Genomic DNA, 18543 nt, shown 5'->3' on the forward strand with positions numbered 1-18543 from the left:
TTTCAGTGAGCTGAGATCGCACCACTGTACTCCAGCCTGGCAACAGAGCGAGACTCTGTCAAAAACAAAAACAAAAACAAAAAAACCTGTAGCTTAGTCAGTTTTTTAAGGCCACTTTGAGAATTAATCCATGCGATTACACTTGGGGCTTTCTGAAACTTAGATTTCTCATCTATGAACTGGGAATAAGTCCATCACATAGATAATATGACAGCTAATTGATAATATAAAGGTGTTTAGTACACTCACACATAGGAAGTAATCAATAAATATCCCACCATGTAAACAAGGAGTCAGCATGTGTCCTGAAAGATGCTTTTCCCTGACATTTCTCCTACTAGCTCCCTTGTGGGTGTTGACTTGAAAACTCAATACCAGTCACTCTGCTCTGGGCCCCAGGAGGCTGACCTCAGTGGACTGTCATATCTGCCCTGTTTTGTCCTTCAACCCCTGGTTGGGTTCAGTGGGCTGGTAAATTATTGAGATAATAATAAGTTGGATCAAGTTGGCAACAGTCATCGGAAGCACATAGCCGTGCCCACATATAATTGTTCTTTTTACCAAGCTACATAAAAAAGGAGAAAGTAGGAGAAGCTGACAGTGGGGGACCCACCTCCTACCAGGTAGACACTTTCTCCATAAATGTTTCATTATTTCTCAACCTACCCAATGACTTTTTTTTTTTTTTTACAAATGAGAAATCTGAGGTTCAGAGATGTTAAGACGCTTGCCCAAATGTACAAAGAGTATTAGTGGAGCCAACATCCAAATTCAGCCGTATTTGACTTGCAACACCACAACCTTTCCAATGTGCAAATTTCAGTAGCCTTTGCACCACGAAGTAAGAAGTAGTTGGAGGTGCATCAGTTAAACTGTCCATTGTGAGAATTCATGGATTATCATTTTTTATTTTTAATTTTTTATTGTCTGTACATTTATGTGCATTTTGTACATTTTTTGTATATTTCGTACATTAATCATGTTTAAGAATGGAAAGACTCAAGCAGAATCTCTTTTTGTTTGTTTGTTTGTTTGTTTGTTTGTTTTTTGAGATGGAGTCTCACTCTGTCACCCAGGCAGGAGTGCACTGGCGCGATCTTGGCTCACTGCAAGCTCCGCCCCCCAGGTTCAAGCAATTCTCCTGCCTCAGCCTCCCAAGTAGCTGGGATTATAGGTACGTGCCACTGAGTCCAGCTAATTTTTGTATTTTTAGTAGAGATAGGGTTTCACCATGCTGGCCAGGCTGGTCTCAAACTCCTGACCTCGTGATCTGCCCGCCTCGGCCTCCCAAAGTCCTGGGATTACAGGCGTGAGCCACAGCACCAGGACGTCAAGCAGAATCTAACTTGTCACTTGCTTATGTCAGCAGCATTCCATGGTTGAAAGGGTGATCAGCATGGTGATGGTGATGATGATGATCTTGATGATACACAGAAAATACTGATGAGTGCCTCTATGTGACGAGTACTGCTCTGTGCATTCTGCAAGGGCCACTTTCTTGAACCCTCATAATAACTTTTTTTGAGGGCATATATACTACCAGTCTCCATATTTTACAGTGAATGAGCTGAGGAAACAGAATTTTATTAACTCATCCAAGGTCAACCAGCAGTAAGACTCAAACACAGTTTTACCTTATTCTGTGTATACTACCAGTCTCCACATTTTACAGAGTGAGCTGAGAAAACAGAAGTTTATTAACTTATCCAAGGTCAACCAGCAGTAAGACTCAAACACAGTTTTACTTTATTCTGTGTATACTACCAGTCTCCACATTTTACAGAGTGAGCTGAGAAAACAGAAGTTTATTAACTTATCCAAGGTCAACCAGCAGTAAGACTGAAACACAGTGTTACCTTATTCTAGAATTGTCTTACTTAACTGTAACCTATTCATGTTTTTAGCAAAGCTGGGTTGGGGTAGAATTCTCAGAAATGTCTTTCTTTTGATTACGTTCGTAGTTCTTGCCCATATTTGGGTCTATTACAAGCATGCATGACATTTTTGGGCATAAAATTTCAAAGAACAGACAGTGATAACTTAATTCTATTGCATGATGCACAACATTTTTAAAGTAAATAAAATTAAAATTCACTTTTAAAATATGTGTAATTCCCAGCCAGGTGTGGTGGCTCACACCTGTAACCCAGCACTTTGGGAGGCCAAGGCGGGCAGATCACCTGAGGTCAGGAGTTTGAGACTAGCCTGGTCAACATGGTGAAACCCCATCTCTACTAGAAATACAAAAATTCGCTGAGCATGGTGGCGCGTGCCTATAATCCCAGCTACTTGGGAGGCTGAGGTGGCAGAATCGCTTGAACCCGGGAGGTGGAGGTTATAGTGACCCAAGATCGCACCACTGCACTCCAGCCTGAGTGACAGAGCAAGACTCAGTCTCAAAAAGAAAAAAAATGTGTAATTCCCAAGATTATTGAAAACAAACTAGAGTAAAGCAAAAAGAAAACTAGAGAGTAAAAGATAGATTGAATGCTTGTAACAGCACTGGATCAAAAAGAACTGGGCTGGTCCCCAGGACAGCTTTTGCTACCTCCCCACTCTGCCTTTAAGAAATGCAAATCCAGAAAATGTTAGCACCTCAGTTCTTTTATTTGTAAATGAATGTACCTGCCTAACCCACTTTACAAAGTTATTAGGAGTGTAAGACCAAAGACACAAGATATGAATGCACTCATTGGTAAGAAAAAAAAAAAAAAGAAGTTGGATAGTAAAATTCAAACACAAAATTTTAATAGGCTTTGACACGTTGCAGTGAAAAAGGAACGTGTACAAAACCCAGGAGCTCATGAAAGCAGAGAAACAGGACTTTAGTGTTAGAATGGCAGGACAAGGCAGCAGAACCAGGTTCCAATTAATGAGAGCTGCTGCTTCTGCTTAGCTGAAATCAAACTACCTAAGTATGCAGAGAAGGAGAATAGAAAGTAAATTTTGGAATGAGGCCAGTATTTAAATCCTAGCCCTGGCATAGAGGATACCTGCTTGTTCAGACCAGATGTCTCAGCAGGACAAAGAATCTCTAATCCTTAGTCACGGGCTCAGAACCAGAATAGCGGTCCTGCAAGAGCTGAGATTGGGTTTCTGCCATTCTTGAGGAATGGGAGTTCAGAAGGAAACAAAGACAAGATGTACAACTAAAAATAAAATCACTTTGGGAATTTTTCCTCAATCTGGGTGTGATAGCTGAGATCCACACCCACCTTATTACGAAGGTCTTGATGTGCCATCCAATGTTCTTGATGTGATTTGATGACATGAGTTTTCTTAAGTATCTGAAGTCATGTGTCCTTGGTTTCTGTGTCATGGTGCCTCAAGCTCTAGAGGAAATGAATTGGTAATTTTTAGCAGGAGAAAAAATGTGTCTTTCAACAAAATAAAAAAGAATCTGCATAGAACTAAATTCTTTCTTTCATCGTCTTTTTTCTTTATTTCTGGTGAGCCATTTAGAAAGTATTTTGTGATCGCCTTAAGCCCCAATCCCCTAGCACTTCTGTGTGAAGCATACTCCAAGGTAGGGTCAAGTGAGGCAAAGATAACTGTGTTTTATTGTGATTATGATTGCTGCTTCCATAAAGCCAAACAAAGCACCCCGTTCTTTATAATTATAGTATGGTCATAAAAGAGCATCTTAAATGAAGAAAACACTGTCACCCATTTAAACTCAGATGACATTTTATGTTGGGAATTAGCATCACCAGGATTTATCTCAAATCAAACTATAAAAGAATCAAACATTCAAAGAATAAACCCAATCATTAATCTGTGGAGATCCTTTGTTCTTCTTCTTTTCCTGAAAAAAATGTTTAGTTTGAGTTGAGATGAGAAAAGAAGAGAAATAGAAAGCCATCGGTATTTGCACCCTCAATCCATCACACAGGAGACGTTTCAGGGAAGAAGATCGTTGTCAAGGATGCAGTAACAGTAGATTTAAGTGTGGAGTGTGGCTTCTAATTGACTGGAAGGGCATACTCCTGGCTGAAATGTTGACAGCCAGAAGCAGAGCATATTTTCTCTCTTTTCTTTTCCTCTGCCATAGCCACCAGCAGTTTCCATGTGGGGCTGCACCATCAGCTTAGGCCCCTGAGTGACGTGGCGAGCAGACAGCAGATGACCCATAAGGACCCACAGTGTGATCAGTGAATAAATCTCGGAGGTTTACGTCACTGAAATTCTGGGCTTGTTTGTTGCCACATCATTACTTAGTCACTATTTCTCCAACTTAAACATGCATAAGAATCATTTGAGGGATTACTAAAATCCATATCTCTGGGCTCAACTCCCCAACATTGCAGTATAGTAGGTCTTGTGTTGGGGTCCAAAATTTGCATTTCTAACAGGATCCCATGCAATGCTGATGGTGCTGGTCATCTGAATTCTCTTTGAAAAGCACTTACTATTCTATTCTGATTGAGACATGTCCCAAATTAGACACCCAGTTAATTGAAGCTTTTCTCATTACTGCCATCCTTATTATCACCATCATTATCATCTCCTTCATCACCTGTGATCTCTATTTCTAGATGGAACCATCAGGGACATTGAAATGACTTATCTCCTTGATTTGCAAAAAAACAAATATTAGTTTAGCATTAACTTTTCTCTCCACTAATTTCAAAGCGGTCTCATAACCTGAATAAGAGACCTGCTGATGTGAAGGAAATAATACTAAGAGTAGACTATGCTTAGTATTATTACTCAACTTCTGTCAATGTCCTTTGAATAGTAATTAATTTTAATCCCAGAAGAAGTGAGAACTGCATTTCAGGAAGAGAAGCAGAAAAGCAAATAACCAATTAGTATCAAAAATACATCTAAAAATAACACTAAAAATACATCTAAAAATATTGAGTTAATGAGTCCTTAATCTAGAAATTAGAGGACATTATTTTAAGATAATTGATTTGCCCAGATTTTATTCATAAAGAAAAAGGTATAAACACATTCAGTGAAAATATCAAACAATGCTCCTGGAAAACTAAGGAAAGCTGAGAACCCAAGAGAATTCTGAGGAGTGAAGATCATCCAAGAGCATTTAACACATAAAATATAAACACAGCAACTCTCTCCCCCACTGTATTCATCCGTTCTCACTCTGCTATGAAGAAATACCCGAGACTGGGTAATTTATAAAGAAAAGAGGTTTGATTGACTCACAGTTCCACATGGCTGGGGAGGCCTCAGGAAACTTACAATCATGGCGGAAGGCACGTCTTCACAGGGTGGCAGGAGAGAGAATTAGAGCCAAACGAAGGGGGAAGCCCCTTATGAAACCATCAGAGGCCGGGCACAGTGGCTCATGCCTGTAATCCCAGCACTTTGGGAGGCCGAGGCGGGCGGATCATGAGGTCAGGAGATCGAGACCATCCTGGCCAATATGGTGAAACCCCAGACGTGGTGGCACACACCTGTAATCCCAGCTACTCGGGAGGCTGAGGCAGGAGAATCGTTTGAACCAGGGAGTCAGAGGTTGCAGTAAGCTGAGATGGCACCACTGCACTCCAGCCTGGGTGACAAAAACAAAACAAAACAAAACAAAACAATAAAAACACACACACACACACATCAGGTCTTGTGAGAACTCACTCACTGTCATGAGAAAAGCATGGGGGAAACTGCCCCCATGATTCGATTACCCCATGAAACTGGGTGCCTCCAAGGACATGAGAGGATTATGGGAACTACAATTCAAGATGAGATTTGGGTGGGGACACAGCCAAACCATAGCAACCACCTTTTTTCTCTGCAATAGGCCTCCCTGTTCCCACATCTTCATTAAGACAGCTGCCTCTAGGGGTTGCAGTAAGAACCTCATTGCCAGATTCGCTGATTCCCTCAATGTCTCTGCAGCAATCAGAATTTCCTGGGCATTTTCACTTGAGTTTTCCCACACCAGGATTCCAAGGATTAGAGGTTTGAATGGCTGTAGCTGTGAAAAGTGGGAAGGAAGAATAAAGTATATTATTTGGCTCTGAATTGCCCATATTTTCACATTAGTTTTCTAGCATTGTTTTATACATAAACAAACACACTACCATAATAAAATATATTAACCTTTAGTAGAGTAGTATTTCTTATACCTATAAAGCTGTTACTAAATCAATAATGTATCTACTTTCTATTACCCTTCTCTGCAGCTAAGAATCCTGGAAATCAGCTAATATTCATTGACACAGGGGATGGTACACAATCATTCAGCAATTCTCAGATAAGAGTACTTTATTCTGCATTTCATGGGAAAAGGTTCTGGGGCCCAAAGTGTTGATTAACTTTTCCAGACTCACATGTCTAATGGATCACGGAGACAAAGGCATTGCAGAGCTCAAAGTGAGGCATGGGCCTGAGTTTCCTGACAGGTTGGTTTCACTCCACATCTGAGATTCCCATGCAACATTTGCTCCACTGCATGGACCAGCTGATCCACATATCCTAAGAGGGCTTTCTCAGTGACAGAATCAGCAAACCCTGAAGATCTGAAAGTCTGCCTTCAGAACTGACCTGTGTGTGACCAGGCATGGTGGCTCACACCTGTAATCCCAGCACTTTGGGAGGCTGAGGTGGGTGGATCACTTAAGGTCAGGAATTCAAGACCAGCCTGGCCATCATGGTGAAATCCCAACTCTACTAAAAATACAAAAATTAGCTGGGCCTGGTGGCCCGCACCTGTAATCCCAGCTACTCAGGAGGCTGAGGCAGGAGAATCACTTGAACCTGGGAGGTAGAGGTTGCAGTGAGCGGAGGTCGCACCACTGCACTCCAGCCTGGGCAATACAGCGAGATTGTGTCTCAAAAATAAAAAAATAAAAAGAACTGACCTGTGTGCAGCCCACATTCTGTGCTCTGTCTACAAACCAGGTCCTTTTCTATAATTAGCTTTTTAACCAACGATTGGAAAAGAACCAGTGTTCCTCAAAATTTTGAGAAAGGTAAACAAACCTTAAATAATAGATGTATTAGTTTAATTAGTTAATTCTTCTTCATGTTCAATTGGGAAGCTAGGAAGCCAAATAGAGCTAATTGTAAATGTGTGTTTGACAAATAAAAGGCTGAGTGGTTAGTTAATTAAAATACCCAAGGACGAGCATTGCCAGAGCGTTGCGCTCCTTGTGAAGGAAGCGGGAGGAAGCGTTGGGAGTGGGCAGTGCAGCCTCTGGGCTGCCAGGAACAAGGCGGCTGCGTGGACGCACCATGGGAAGCTCTGCAGGGTTCTCTTGTGCACACACGGTGATGACGACTGATCAGAGTGGCAGAACCTCGTGTCCCAAAAGTCCTGCAATGTCTCAGCTAGCAGGGGCACCCAGTACCATCTCCAGCAGCTCCACTGTTTCAGCTTGGGGTCGAAGGCTTAGAGAGGAAGCATGAACTCCCAAGGTCACCTGAGGACTCTGTGGCAAAGACAGACACAGAACCTAGGGTCAAGGGCTCCACAACCAGTTCCCCATCCATTGGTATTTATTAAGCATTTATTATGCACTTAGTATCTTGCAATGTTTCACATGAGGAAACTTGGTTGTTTCCCTTAGGAAACAATTACTTATTCATTTATTTAGCAAGTACTTATTTAACTTCTATGTGTGAAGTGTCAAACAGCAGAAAGCCAGACTCTTGTTTAAAATGTGAGACATAATTTGGGCTGGGTACAGTGGCTCATGCCTGTAATCCCAGCATTTTCGGAGGCCGAGGCGGGTGGATCACCAGAGGTCAGGAGTTCGAGACCAGCCTGGCCAACATGATGAAACCCCGTCTCTATTAAAAATATAAAAATTAGCCAGGTGTGGTGGTGTGTGCCTGTAATCCCAGCTACTTGGGAAGCTGAAGCCAGAGAATCACTTGAACCCAGGAGGCGGAGGTTGCAGTGAGCCAAGGTTGTGCCACTGCACTCCAGCCTGGGTGACAGAGTGAGACTCTATCTCAAAAAAAAAAAAAAAAAAAAAAGTAAGACATATTTTATACATACAACTGTTGAAGGGGAGAGAGATTTCAGTATCAACTGAGTTCAACTTCAGTGATACAAAAGGCAGGAGGCTTTTAAAATTCCAGGATGTGCTAAGTGAAAAGTACAGAAGGATATTAAGGGGAGCATTGGATGTGATCAGGCCACCCGTGTTTGCTAAATGGCACTTATCTGAGTTAGGCTCCTACCTTCCCACAGGACCCAGGAGACAGAGGCCCTGTCTTTATGACTGTGTTTCAAAGGGATCGCTTCCAGGTCCAGGAGAAAGATGCTTCTAGGTTGAAAACCTGGGAGAAGTCCGGGAGAAGATTTACATCCTTAAAAGAGCAGAGATAGAATTTACAATGGCAAGTTTTCTCAAGCGAATGCTTTGAGAAAAGAAAGGCAGGGGCATATAGTCAGGACTTGGCTGGGACAAGCAGTAGACTTTTTCAGCAGTCTTGAGCCTCCTCAGGGAAGAACTTAAGAGGGTGGGGACTGGGCACGGTGGCTCACGCCTGTAATCCCAGCACTTTGGGAGACTAAGGCAGGCAGATTGCCTGAGCTCAGGAGTTCGAGACCAGCCTGGAGAACACGGTGAAACCCTGTCTCCACTAAAATACAAAAAATTTAGCTGGGCGTGGCGGCATGTGCCTGTAGTCCCAGCTACTCGGGAGGCTGAGGCAGGAGAATTTCTTGAACCTGGGAGGCGGAGATTATAGTGAGCCGAGATCACGCTACTGCACTCCAGCCTGGGCAACAGAGTGAGACTCCGTCTCTAAAAAACAAAAAAGAGGGTGGGGTTGTCATCCTAGGGACCCAGACTTGAGCTCACAGAAACAATGCTAGTGCTTACTCAAGCCTCTTGGGGCGAGGATGGACAAAATTGCTCACGCTGAGAGTCTGTAATTCTCATAGACCTAGTCTAGAAGAGGCTCAGAGAAGCCTGACTAAAGTTTGGTCAAGGAGAGAGTCTTTGTCCTAAGAACTGTGTATAAAACCATGAAGGAAACAGAGAATCATGACTTTATAGCATTTATATAATAATGATGGGCAACAGAGTGAGACTCCGTCTCAAAAAAAAATAAAATAAAACTTAAAAAAAAAAATAAATAATGATGGAGCTTATTACATTCAATTCAGTTTCATCGTAGATAAATTTAAGTTACTCAAATTCACCTTTGTGTGTGTGTTGCCCAGGGAGAGAGGGAAACGGGGAGGTGAGAGAGAGATAGAGATAGATAGATAGATAGAGAGAGAGAGAGAGAGAGAGAGAGAGAGAATTTTGAGAGAAGGCGGAAACCAGCTAAATCGCTCTGGTAAATCAGTCAGTGGTTCCATTGAGTGTTTGCCTCCAAAGCCAAGCGGGAAAAGAAAGACTAAAATCTAGGGCTGATGGTTTGCTTCAGTCCAAAAGTCTCAGCATCTGAGCATCTCATTCTACTGCCTATGACTCTAGTGTTTGAAGAATCATAGCTTTTTATAATCTATCCCTTCAATGTAAGCCAACAGCTTCTCCTGGCGTCCAACACAGAGACGGCCATCTGTTCCCATGCTCGTGGGGACTGTCCGTGGGCAATTTTCCAACAGCCAGTCCATAGGTCTTGAAAGTGGCAACTTCCTGTATCAATTTGGGCCCTGAGAAGACAGGATGACATTCACAGAAAGTGTAGTGAAAATAATTTAACAAAGGGCCTATTTACAGAAAACCTGGGCAGGATTAGAGAATCAAGGACTGTCAAGCCACCTTCCAGGACCTGGAAGGTATAGAAAGTCTCTATCATGCTCAGGATCAAGTAGGGGGAAAAGGTATTTGGGAGGTAAGTACCTGGGAAGATGCACTGCCCACCGTAACTGTGGCTGTGCAGAGCCACTGGCAGGACCCAGGTGAGGCACGAAGGAAATGGGAGAATGAATTAGCCAAGTTCTCTCCTCCACTAGTCAACTGCAGTGTCTGAAAAGCTGAAGGCCAGGTTCAACATGGAGAGACTGCGTTATTCAGACAATGCTGTTAGCACTCAGTCAGCCCAGCCTGGCCTCACCACGCAGATCTGATTTCCTCTTGGCTGCATTATTTCAGGCAAGCTGGCTCCAGGTGGAGGCCTTTACGTTCTATCAGCTTAACAACCACAGCAGAAGGCAGGGAGTGGGGAAAGGGAGCTGGGGGTGGAAAGGAAGAGCGAGATTGATTTTGAGATTAAACCTCTTTCTCACCAGGTTTGGCCAAAGTCCAGGTTTGTATCTCACCAGAGGGACTTGGCCACATGTCCCTTTCTGTCACAGTCCCCTGCCTACTGGCTGAGCCTGGAGACTGTGTCCTTCCCCAGAGGTCTGAGTCTAGGTCACTGAATGTCTGGGGGGCGGGGTGGCTCTTCGCAATTCAGGATGCTGCCAGGAGGACAGTGGTGACAGAGGCTGTGCAGGAAAAATAAAAATAAAAATAAACAAACTTCCACTCAGGTCCTGCAGATCCACAGCAGCTTGGGTCTCTATATCCATTCGTGTAATTGCTGCACATAAAGCTTATATCCTGGGAATGTGGGGAGACTCTTCATGACGTTTTCAGAATCCACCTGGATGAATTCCATTTGCATTAGGATTTTTCCCCCAGTGTAGATGGTTTTAATGACTGTCATTCCCCAAACAGGGAATTTGGTATGGTTTCTGGAACATAACAGCATGCAGTTCTTCACAGATAATATTCAGTCAATGAGTAAATACACTACAAAACATCTTTCTTCCACTCCGTTTATGTTTAGCAGCCTGAACTAATCAGAAGGAAACTCACTTAAAACAAGAACTGACTTCTTGTGAAGGATCATGAAAGTTTTGAGCATTGCATCAGAATGCAGATATTTAAACTCCTCTGTCTAACTTGCTTCTCAGGAAAGATTTATAGAATGTAAGATAAGGAGGTTAAGATGACAGTGTTTTTTTTTATTAGACCTAGCCATGCTTAAACCTTAAATCCAAGATCTTTCTCTTAATATTTTTGCATCCATATAATCCACCTCCTCTATGTGTTAATAAATACTTTCTCTAAGAGGGAAGGTGGGAGGGAGGAAAAGGAGGGAGAGAATAAGAGAAATTGTGGAAAAAGGTATAATCATGACCCTCATACAGATATAAGATGAACATATTTCAACCATATCAATTAAATCACTAATCAATGAGAAAGCCAGCAAGAGGCAATAACTGGTTCACAGGAGAATCTAAAGACACATAGATAAACCACCAGGAATGATGAAATAAATACGCTTAATAGGTTAAAAAAATGTCAAAACTAGTCAATATCTATGTAATAATCAACTGACTCTCCTTCAGACAAAAGTTGCATTTTTATGGGCAAGAATAGTTTGCATTACTATAAGTATTCTACAATTTACAGAGCTATAAATTAGCTGAAAAACAATGAAAGAGAGAAAGACCACTGATATGGGTTAGATCTGTGTCCCCACCCAAATCTCATGTCAAACTGTGATTCCCAGTGTTGGAGGTGAGGCCCTGTGGGAGGTGACTGCATCATGGGGGCGGGTTCTCACGAATAGGTTAGCACTATCCCCCTTGATGCTGTTCTCCTGACAGAGTCCTCTTGAGATCTGGTTGTTTAATAGTGTGTAGCACCTCCCCCGTCTCTCTCTGGCTCCTGCTCTGGCCATGTGAGATGTGCCTGCTTCCTGTTCGCCTTCTGCCATGATTGTAAGTTTCCTGAGGCCTCCCCAGAGGCAGAAGCCGCTATGCTTCCTGTATAGCCTGCAGAACCATGAGCCAACTAAATCTCATTTCTTATAAATTACCCAGTCTCAGGTATTTCTTTATAGCAGTGCAGAAACGAACTAATACAACCACCACAGAATCAAATAACTCAAAATTGCCTAGTTTCCCACCAAAGGTATCCAGTAATCTTTTTTTATCTTTTTCAAAGTCACTCATGATTTTTCCCCAATTCAATTTTTTTTCCTAATTCACAATATATAGAATTAAGATAATAACAGCACCTTTCTCGTAAGACTGCTGTGTTGATCAAATAAGAGACAGCAAGCGAAATCCTTAGCCTGCAGCCTGGCATCTCATAAGCCCCTAATAATTATTACTATTCATGATTACTCTTTTTAACTAAAACCATGATCATGACACCCTTTAGGTGTTTTTTTAGAATTGTCATAAACTTTTGAAATTATAACTTCCCAATAACAAAGATGTCTTAAAATATGAACAATTATTTTCTGAGAAAGACAGATGGAAATAAGTATAACTAATCATTCTGAGAAATCAGAGATAAATTTCACATGGCCGGTTCCTAAAATAGTCTATAAGGTGGAGGGAGAAATCACAAGACAAACTGGCCGGGAGGGTTTGGGACCAACGTGGTGGAAATTAAGCAGAGATACAGATGCAAACAGAATTCACAAAAAACAAGGACAGATGAGAACAAAGACTGTCAGGAGATCTAAACACTGGTAAACCAAATATTTCTATTTCTGGAATCTCTACTACAACAACAGAGCCTGGCTACATTAAATCTACATTCCAACAGGATGAAGTTGTCTAAGGCTCAGGAATAGAGCACGCATTGAAGTTACTTACCTGGTTCAGGAAGATGTTTCAGTTCTTCACCCCTGGGTAAGACACTTGGGTATAAAGAGTGGGTAGGTATGTTATATAGTGAAAGGTAAAATCAGGAATCAGGCTTGGCAAGTTAGTTGGAGAAGATGATTTCCCTGACCAAGATCTTCCTGAACTTCTCAATAGACCCCCTACCTAACTTCACAGTGGAATAATAGATCATCATAATTGTAATCACCTTGCTTGGGCTCAGAGTCTAAGGCTGATGTGCGTGACTGACTCCTCCCCTGGATTCTGTGTCCTAATTATTACAAAGCAGCAGCTTGCATCAAGTACTCACATGTTCTTTATCCTAATAATAATAATCACATATTTTACAGCACAATTTGGCAAACTCTTTACCTAACCAAGCGTGAAAGAGAAAATCATTATGTGTCTACAGATTATTGTCATATATTATTTTATTTAACAACAACATATTTTCCATGAATTAGTTAATACAGGGAGACATACAATGCACACATTTTTAGAAATCAAATTTTTAGGGGGAAGTTTGTCTTCTTACTGCTTGATTTCTGGCTGTTCCACAATTTCCATTTTATTGTCCTGAAAGGCGGTTTCTGTACCCAACAGACAGAAGACGCTTTTTCCAAAATTCATGTAGGTAAAATGCCTGATGAGAAAATGTGAACTCTTTATTCAGAATCTAGTGGGAAATTTAACTCAGGCTTGTCATAAAATTGAGTTTAGATATGTGCTGGAAAACTTGGCTAAATGCTATTCAGAATGCATCAAATACTGTACCTGGGCTTTACAGTATTTTATTATACACTTAAATATTTGTTAACAGAGTGGATCTCGTGTTACGTGTTTTTACCAGAAGAAAATAAAATTTAAAAATATATCCATTGTGTGCCTGCTATGTGCCAGTCACCATGCAACTCAGCGGTGGCGAACAACATAGGAAAACTCCTGCTTTTAATTGGGGATTGCCTAAGTTGGACCACAGTCAAACACACAGGCAATTAAATGGCAGTATGAGCAGTGTTGTGAGAGAGTCAAGAAACTCAGATATTACAGCACAGGCAAAAACCAGAATATCCAGGGCGGAAAGATATTCCTTAGAATTTAATCTGAAGTCTCAGGGCAATTCAAAGTAGGCCGAGCAAACGAAGTAGAGGGAGGTCTTCAGGCAGATACAACAGAGAGGTACAGGCATATACAGCAGATGTTTCACAGGCTGTCACTGCCCATTCCGGTTTGCTCTGGCCAGCTTCTGGCTGACAGTACTCTCAGTTCTCTGCCTCTCTCCTGCTCCTCTCAAGCTGCTGAGAGCTCCCCACCCACAGGGCAGGCCAGACAAACAGGGGAATTATTGCCTCCCTGCTCCTTCCTAACCCTCAACCATTGACTTTTTGAGAATCTAATTTCCAACGTTTTTACACCCCTTGACTTCAGTGTGACCTTGCGACTTGCTTTGGTCTACAGAATAAAGTGGACTGACAATGCAACCTGAATGCACCCAGGTGTCAGGAGATCTTGAATGTTTCTGCTTCCCCTCTCAGTATTCAGCCTCCAACATGAACCTAAGCCTGGGCCAGGCCACTCTGGAAACAAGACCATGGGCAGCAGAGCTGGACTTCCCAGCTGAGGTTCTACCATGTCAGCCAACCATTCAGTAAATACCTGCCAGACACGTGAATGGGCCTCAGGCAAGACCAGAAAAATCATTAAGCTAATCCCAGTCAAGATAGGCAAAACTCAATTTTAGAGTCATTTGTTATACAACATTACTATGGTGACTGCTAGCTCATACAAAGCATTTCATGATTTTCATCAGACTTGCTGAATATTTGGTGGTTGTGGCAATGAACTATATGCTGCACATTCTGGAGCCAACTATGTGTCCTAATTTTCCTCTCTCTCCACTCATTCTTTCCCCTTCTTGCTGCCCCTATTAAATGACTTCCCTCTCATCTCTTAGCCAATCAGAGAACATATTTGGACTATGCATACTTCCCAAATCATATAGATGCTAAAATAACTGACAGTATATGAGGGAGTCAAATATATAGTATACTGTGAAGTATACTGCATGTTTTCATAGAACACACACAATAATAGTTAACACTACTATTACTAATAATAGTTAACACTACTGTTACTAATAATAGTTAACACTACTGTTACTAATAATAGTTAACACTATTATTACATAGAAGAACACACACAATAATAGTTAACACTACTACTATTACTAACACTACTATTACAGAGACTGTGCTTAACATGTGTAGAAGAAATTGCTCCCATGGCCTCATGCAATGTATTCATGTAGTCTCCAAATAGTTTCCAATATGTTGATTAAAGCAATCCACCTAGCAGCCTTCCTCCATTAACAGAACAGTGTATACTTTCAAAATTGATATGCAACTGTTTCTATAAACTGTTCAATAATCCAGACTGCCTTTCTTCCATTGCCCTGAATTGGTTGTTTGATCATTTATCTTGGCTAATCTTTAAATGACTGCTTGGTTCGCCTCTCTCATATTTCTAAAGGACTCACGTGGTATTCAGAAGGAGGAAGCCAGCACCATTCATGTAAGATGTTTATCATCAGTTGGAGCAAATTATGTAGCTGGAATTCATCAGTAAACAATGTTCTTATTCATCCAGAGAAAATCTTAAGCAGCCTGAGCAAAAATCTTATTTTCTTCTTATACTTCAGTGCGCCTTTTTAACTAGTGACATCAATTAAACTGAGATTTCCCTCTCTGGAGGACTGCTTGGATTTTTGTTTTGTTTTGTTTTGTTGCAATTTTGGTCTTCAACAGAAGAAAATTCAGTCTCCCATGGTGATTAACGGTGAGATGGTTAACGCTCTCCAAACCCACAGTACCTTCCGACCAGCTTTTCCATGTTTATTCTGTTTGGGTTTTTCTTCGGGCTGTGATATACCCTTGAGGACTGAGGAAGAAACTGGTACTTAAACACAGTCACCCTAGAAAGGTCTAGAATAAGATGAGGTGGAGCCTCTACTCTCCATTGTTTCATGCCAAGAGTCAGAAATGAGTAGCTCATAGAGGTCATCTGATGTCATTTCTTTTTTCCTTTTTGCTGATGCTTCAGAGATCTCACAGGGGATTGGACTGGCTGCTGGTTCTACGGGGAAGTCAAAGAGAACTAAGAAATCCCTCTTGGTGAGAAATCATGGTAGAAAATAAAGCTATCAACTGAATTTACAATCACATGATCTGGCCAGGCGTGTTGGCTCACATCTGTAATCCCAGCACACTGGGAGACCGAGGCTGTCAGATCACCTGAGATCAGGAGTTTGATATCAGCCTGGCCAACATGGCAGAACTCCGTCTCTATTAAAAATACAAAAATTAGCCAGGTGTGGTGGCACGTGCCTGTAGTTCCAGCTACTCGGGAGACTCAGGCAAGAGAATAGCTTGAACCTGGGAGGCAGAGATTGCAGTGAGCTGAGGTCGCACCACTGCAGCGACTGGGAGAGAGTGTCTAAAAAAAATAATAATAAAAATCAGGTGATCCGTACTTCCTGAATTCACCCACATTCTGTGCTCTTTCATGCATGGCTCTTCCCCATGGGACAATCATACATGCTCAACCTCTTGAACTCAAGAATGTACAAGCTCTTGTCCATAAAACATGAGCCTCAATAACTTTGGTCACTTTCAGCAGACACTTTTAGAAATAAATTGTGTTTTCCCACATCCTGTTTTTTATCTGGCATGATGCCCAGAAATGATCTAGGTAGTGACTGCACTGTTATCCTGGGTTCCAGAGAGAAAAAGATGTTAAGTGAAGCCACAGTGATTCACAGTGGACATGCAATAGAAGGGATAATTAAGCTTTTTCTATTGTAAACATTTAAGATTTGTGGGAAATTTGTTGTACAGCAAAACCTGGCTTATCCTGACTGACAAAATGGATAAACATACAAAGAATGGATAATTTTAATTCTGTCCAGTCAACATTTTGTGCTATGAACTCTTTGACCCCTTCTCTTTCCCCAATGCCTTGTGTTCTGCTTCTATGATTTTATGCCTATAGCTGTATCTATCATCTACATATGTCATACATATATTTAATATATGTGCAAATAGAGAAATGCAAATCAAAACAGCGAGATATCGTCTCACCGCAGTTAAAATGACTTATACCCAAAAGACAGCCCATAACAAATGCTGGCAAGGATATAGAGAAAAGAGAAGCCTCTTATACTGTTGGTGGAAATGTAACTTAGTACAACCACTATGGAGAACAGTTTGGAGGTTCCTCAAAAAGCTAAAAACAGAGCTATCATATGACCCAGCAATCCTACTGCTGGGTATATACCTGAAAGAAAGGAGATCAGTATATTAAAGAGATATCTGCACTCCCAGTTTGTTGCAGCACTGATAACAAGCTATTTGGAAGCAACCTAAGTGTCCACCAACAGATGAATGGATAAAGACAATGTAGAACTTATAATACACAATGAAGTACTACTTAACCATAAAAAAGAATGAGATGCTGTCATTTGCAACAACACAGATAGAACTGAAGATCATTATGTTAAGTGAAATAAGCCAGGCACAGAAAGACAAACATTGCATGCTCTCACTTACTTGTGGGATCTAAATATAAAAAACAAACTCATGGACATAGAGAATAGAAGGATGGTTAGCAGAGGCTGGGAAGGATTGGGGAGTTTTGGGGGAGGTGAGGATGGTTAATAGGTACAAAATAGAAAGAATGAATAAGACCTACCCTTTGATAGCACAACAGGGTGACTATACTCAATAACAACTTAATTGTACATTTTTAAATAACTGAAAGAGTATAATTGGATTGTTTGTAATAATACAAAGGATAAACGTTTGAGGGGATTTCTCCATGCTGTGATTATTATGTATTGCCTGTCTCATGTACCCCATAAATATGTACACCTACTACATACTACAAAAATTTAAAATTTAAAAATTGTATTTGCAAATACCTACATGCACATATATATGCATGTAGGTATTTGTGATATATATGCGAATACATAGTTGTGTAGATATACAAATAGATATGTGTGTGTATATATATATCAGTGTGTATGTATGTGTAAATGTATTAGGATGGTGCAAAAGCAATTGCAGTTTCTGCCATTAAAAGTAATTAAGAGTAATGGCAAAATTCGCAATTATTTTGTGCCACCCTAATAAGATACATAGATGTTGACAGCGAGCTAGAGCTATGATGTAGGTGTAGGGGTAACTGTACCACAGTTAGGTGGGTGCATTTGCAGAAAGATATGGCTGTAAGTAGGTAGACATGCCTTGCTCACTCTGCATCCACAGATCCCATCCACACACCTCATACCTATTGGCTTTCAGTAAATTCTTATTGAACAAACAGATGAACACTAGACTGCTGGGCTCTACTAGGACCTAGAGCTACTTATGCATATGCATGAGTGGCAGCTTGCTCCAGGAAGGATGCTCTTCCCTGTTCTTCATTCTTGACACATCGCCTGATGACCCTGGAAATTTATTAATGTTTGATGAATATTTATAAAAACTGCCACTTCAATTAAAATATAAAATCCCTGAGCTAAATTAATTGAGGTGAGAAAAAAAAAAAAACAAACCTCACTTGCATCCTAGAAGATAACAAATGAGGAGCAGAGGTTGTCTTTGCACTGAAGAATTTTCAGAGCCACAGAAAACTCTTCAGCTGTTAAAGATTTAGGGAACTTGAAAGCATCGCTAAACCAGCAGGCTTTGAAAACAGTTTCCACCTTGGCTCGCTTGGCTGAGTCACCAGGGAATAGGACAGGGTTTAAATGAACAGCCTTGCGGGGCCTTGTTAAACAGACTGCCGTTTTTCCAAATGCCACAGGGTCATCCCATCAGCACCCAGGGAGCCGCCTCTTCCTTTACTCAGTTCCTCTGAAACACCTGGTATGCACAAGGAACCTCATTCTCTGACGTCACGGTATCACATCATTTTAGCCCCAGCACAGAACACAACACTTA

The 18543-nt window shown here is 41.3% G+C and overlaps 1 long non-coding RNA gene across 1 annotated transcript, besides 2 other annotated features; it reads right to left on the reverse strand.

The window, feature by feature from the left end:
- Window positions 1-5746: 5746 nt before the first annotated feature.
- On the reverse strand, window positions 5747-8365 carry LOC105370069 (uncharacterized). Its single transcript, XR_945530.3, has 3 exons — window positions 8155-8365; window positions 7200-7397; window positions 5747-5941 (listed from the first exon to the last, which is right to left on the reverse strand). It is a non-coding gene; the product is annotated as an uncharacterized LOC105370069 (long non-coding RNA).
- Window positions 6715-7215: an enhancer, noted in NCBI's record as "H3K4me1 hESC enhancer chr12:128204606-128205106 (GRCh37/hg19 assembly coordinates)". NCBI's record gives its function as "activates a minimal SCP1, AML or CMV promoter by ChIP-STARR-seq in primed H9 embryonic stem cells {active_cell/tissue: H9 hESC(primed)}" and the evidence as "EXISTENCE:reporter gene assay evidence [ECO:0000049][PMID:30033119]".
- Window positions 10095-10295: a silencer, noted in NCBI's record as "peak2036 fragment used in MPRA reporter construct". NCBI's record gives its function as "represses an SCP1 promoter by STARR-seq MPRAs in K562 erythroleukemia cells {active_cell/tissue: K562}" and the evidence as "EXISTENCE:reporter gene assay evidence [ECO:0000049][PMID:32103011]".

Source organism: Homo sapiens, chromosome 12 (assembly GCF_000001405.40).
Source record: "Homo sapiens chromosome 12, GRCh38.p14 Primary Assembly".
Taxonomy (NCBI): Eukaryota; Metazoa; Chordata; class Mammalia; order Primates; family Hominidae; genus Homo; species Homo sapiens.